We start from the raw sequence: 4,215 nt of genomic DNA, 5'->3' as shown, positions 1-4,215 counted from the left end.
GGAGCTATCACAGAGACTGTGATATTAGAGGTCCTAGAAGGATGTCCTAAGGGACTTTCAAAAGTTTAGCTTAGTCTATTTAGTCCTTCACACTAGGAGAATCCACTAAAAATTTCTGAGCATAAGGATTTTGTGATGGTACATATCGTTTGCAAGAAATTCACCTGGTATGTGCAGGATAGACCACATGGGAGAAGAGGTACATGATTAGAATCTTGGATCAGGGATAAGCAAACAAAAGGGCAGATCATGATGTAGCAGGGATGAGGGATGAAAGTAGGTGTTTACAAAACGTGAACAAATCAGGCAGCCTGAGGCTTTTGCTATCACAGGTCCTTTGCATGATACATTGGAGAACTTCCTTGAAAGTCAAAAGATTAGAGCTGCAAGTGGTAGAAGAAACAGTGTGGAGTGGTGCCTAAGAGAAGGCTGGGAAGTAGGACAATCATGGATTAGATGCTAAATCTGCTGGTTATCAGCCATGTGACTTTCATCAAATTTCTGGGGGCTTTAATCTCCTCTTCTATAAATTAGGAGAGATAAATATAGTTCTTATCTCAAATGGTTGAATATGTGAGTTTAAGAAGAGAATGGGGGGTGCTTAGCACAGCAGTAGACCGTATAGTATAAATGCTCAGGGATGGTAATCACCGTTGTTACCACCACCACCTCCATCATCATCATCATCATCATTACTACCACCACCATCACCTCAAACATTATCACCATTATCACCACCACCACCACCATCACCACCAACATCACCCTCACCATCATCACCACCACCATCACCATCATCACCGTCACCATTACCACCACCATCACCATCACCACCACCATCACCCCCACCCCCACCACCATCACTACCACAGCCTTCACTACCATCATCAACATCACTACAATCACCACCACCTCCATCACTATCATCTCCGTCACTATCACCACCATCATTCCTACCACCATCAGCACCGTCACCACCATCACCACCATCACCCCCATCATTACCACCATCACCACCATCACTATTACCACCACCAGCAACATCAGTCATCACCACAGCCCACTGTTACTACCACCATTACCACCACCACCACCATCACCACCATCATTACCACCAACATCACCACCGTCATCATCACTACCATCACCGTCACCATCATTACCATCACCACCATTACAACCACTATTATCGCCACCATCACCACCAACAAAATCAATACCAACCTCACCATCACCACCATTATCATCGTTACCAGCACCATCATTATTACTTTGCAGAACCACAGACTGTCAGGGTAGGAAGAGTCCATGGGGATTTCCTAGTCTAAAAATTCTCATTTTACAAAAGGGGAAATTGAGACCCAGAGACTGGCCTAAGCTTATACAATGAGTTAATGGCAGACCTGGAACTAGAACCAGGTACTCCTGGCTGCCACTCCCATGTTCTTGCCCCTGATACCAGACCATGTGAGAAATATTGTCAATCAGCACACATTCTTCACAGGATTCATAGGGAGTGAAAGATTTGAAGATTCTTTCCTCTTCAGAGTGGTCCTAACTCTTCCATTTCCTTGTGGTATGTTTCCATAGTCAGTTATCCACTGTGTTTAGACCCTCAGCAGGTATCCAGAGCGAGTATGTTTCTAACAAACTGATTTTCGTTTTAGTAAAAGAAATTTAAAAAATGAAACTAAGAAAGAAAAAGAAAGTAGGAATCTCTTTCAAGGGAGCCTCCCTGATTGGTGATTTGGAGCTGGGGCTCTGACACATGTGGACGTAGTGCTAAGGCAGTGGTGACTCCTACAGAAAATTCTGCTGTGGATGTGCTTAAGGTTCTGACAGGCTTCCAAAGAACTCCTACGGAAATCTTGAAACATTTGGATGGAATTTTTGCAAGGCAGCCTCATGGAATCTTTTATAAACCCTCCCATAAGTCCTGCTGCACTTTCTTCGGCTGCTCCTAGAATGTTCATGTCAGCTGTGTCTCCTTCTCATAGAATTTTTCCACAAGTCTGATGGAATGTTCATAGAAGACCTATGGAGTTCTCAATGAATTTTCGTGAAAATCTCTCAGAGTTGCCATGTGATCCTTAATGAATTCTCACAGAAACAGTGTGGAATTCTTACTTGGAATAGACCCCCAGCTTCCATGGAATTCTTAACTAACCCTCATGGCATGTTAATAAAATTCCAAAAACATGTTCACCGAGCTTGCATTAAATTTTCTTAGAAACCACAGAAAGGACTCCAAGAAAACTTGCAGAATTCCTTGGGAGCAAAAACTAATGAGTCTCCAAACTATCGAGGATAAGACGGGTCCAGTCCTTGGGGTCACTTTGTCCAAGGATTCTTAGAGTGGGTGTCTTCACTAAATGTGGTGAGAAGGCAGGCAGCAGATGTGTCTCAAGCTGTAACTTCTGATTTGAGCAGCAGGGAAGGAGCAGGTCCTCTCAGCATAAGATGAGGGATTTTGTCATCAAATATCTTCCCATCCCACTTTGTACTGTCACACGCCAAAGCCAGCTCCACACAGGGCCCAGCAGCAGTTGAACGGAGTGTCTCCATCCAGTCCTTTATGTTATTAATCTATCCCCAGCCCCTCCCTTTGGAGCCTCAGGCTCTCCGTGGATGTTCTCCCAATCATTAACTAAGCCCGAGTCAATTAAGAGCCCTGGATGCTGGCACATAATGGGTATCATTTATTGATGTAACATAATTCTTTTCAGGTTAGAATACAGAGACATGCAGGGCTGGATTTTCATTGAACCCACCCCAGAGCCTGCTGTTACAAGACAATACCCCGGGTTTTGCAAGTCGGCCTCCACAGAAACTGGATCCCAAGGGGCTCGGCATGGGGGACAGTGCTGCCACACAAAGGAGATGCCCTGGGAGGTCAGGGAGGCAGCCAGGCAGCGCTACCCTGCCTTCAGCACACAGGCATCTGCCAATGCCTGGCCTGCTCTGAGCCTGCCTGGCCCGGTCCCAAACTCTGGGCCTGGGAGCTGAGGCCCGACAAGCTGGTTAATGCAGCCAGCACGGAGGGGCCTTGGCCTTCATGCCTGGTTTGCTGAGCAGCCCTGGATGAGCCTCTGGAGCCCCGTGAGCTCTTCTCCACTCTTAGCTGGGCTGACTCCAGCTGGTTCCTGAGGACTCAACTCATGACAGCTGCTCCCCAGGGAAGCCCCGGGTAAGCTCAGTGGCCCTGCTTCATGCTTTCAGGACCCCCGGCATGAATCACAACTCAAGCTCATTAAGTGTGGGATGAATCATTTAGGGGCTGGGCTCCCAGCAGGGCAGAGACTCTGCCTTTTTTATTGCCGACTCCACAGTGCCAAGGCTGTGCCTGGCACACATGGGGGTGCAATAGATGTTTGTTGAATGAATGAATGATGACAATCACAACAATGCCATGATAATCATAAGAATAGTGGCTAACGCTTAGGGAGTATTTTCCATGCCTGGCACTAGTCTTAAGTCTTTCCATGCATTAAATGCATTTGAGGAAAGAATGAATACACTTGGAATGCCCTGGTGTGGAATACTGATAAGCGTAAACTGATGGTAAGTGCCTACTGCGTGTCAAGCACTGCACTTGGCACTTTTTCCTTTTTATCATTCAAGGTTGAACTTGCTGGATGAGTTTCTTTTCAGGTGGCCGGGCAACCTGTGGCTAGTTCCTGAGGACATATGTGGTTCTGAAATCCATGAGAACCCAGAGTCAAAATCAACATCAATGACAGTCCCAAATTCCCTACCTTGTTTTATGCTTTAATGCTTACATCAGGTCCCTGGCACACCCCGAGCTGCCAGGGAGGCTGGAAAGGGAGGATTCCATCTTTGCAGCCTCTGTGATGGATGTTGGGCCAGAAAGAAGCTGTGCTGTTGGGAGAGCCCTGGGTGAGTGGCTGCCACGATCCTGGGAAGAGGCGAGGGTGTGAGCCCCGGCCTTGGAGGCAGCAGGGCCGGCCGCCCAGCCTCTCTGAGCCTAGGCTTGCCTCCTTTGCAAGAGGAAGGAAGCTATGCTAATGGTACCAACTCCAGATCCTGGAGTAATGCAGAGGCTCACCATTTCTTACTGCCTTCATGATGGTTACCACACCCACCTGTCACCTGGACTTAATGTCCTTAATCATTTTTTTCAATGGCCTCAACTTTTAAATACTCTAATCTCATCCCAAGCAATAATATCAATGAAATCACACTTTGGATGTGTGT

Source organism: Homo sapiens, chromosome 4 (genome assembly GCF_000001405.40).
Source record: "Homo sapiens chromosome 4, GRCh38.p14 Primary Assembly".
NCBI classification, from domain to species: domain Eukaryota; kingdom Metazoa; phylum Chordata; class Mammalia; order Primates; family Hominidae; genus Homo; species Homo sapiens.
The sequence above is the reverse complement of the archived record's forward strand: the minus strand, read 5'-3'. Positions refer to the sequence as shown.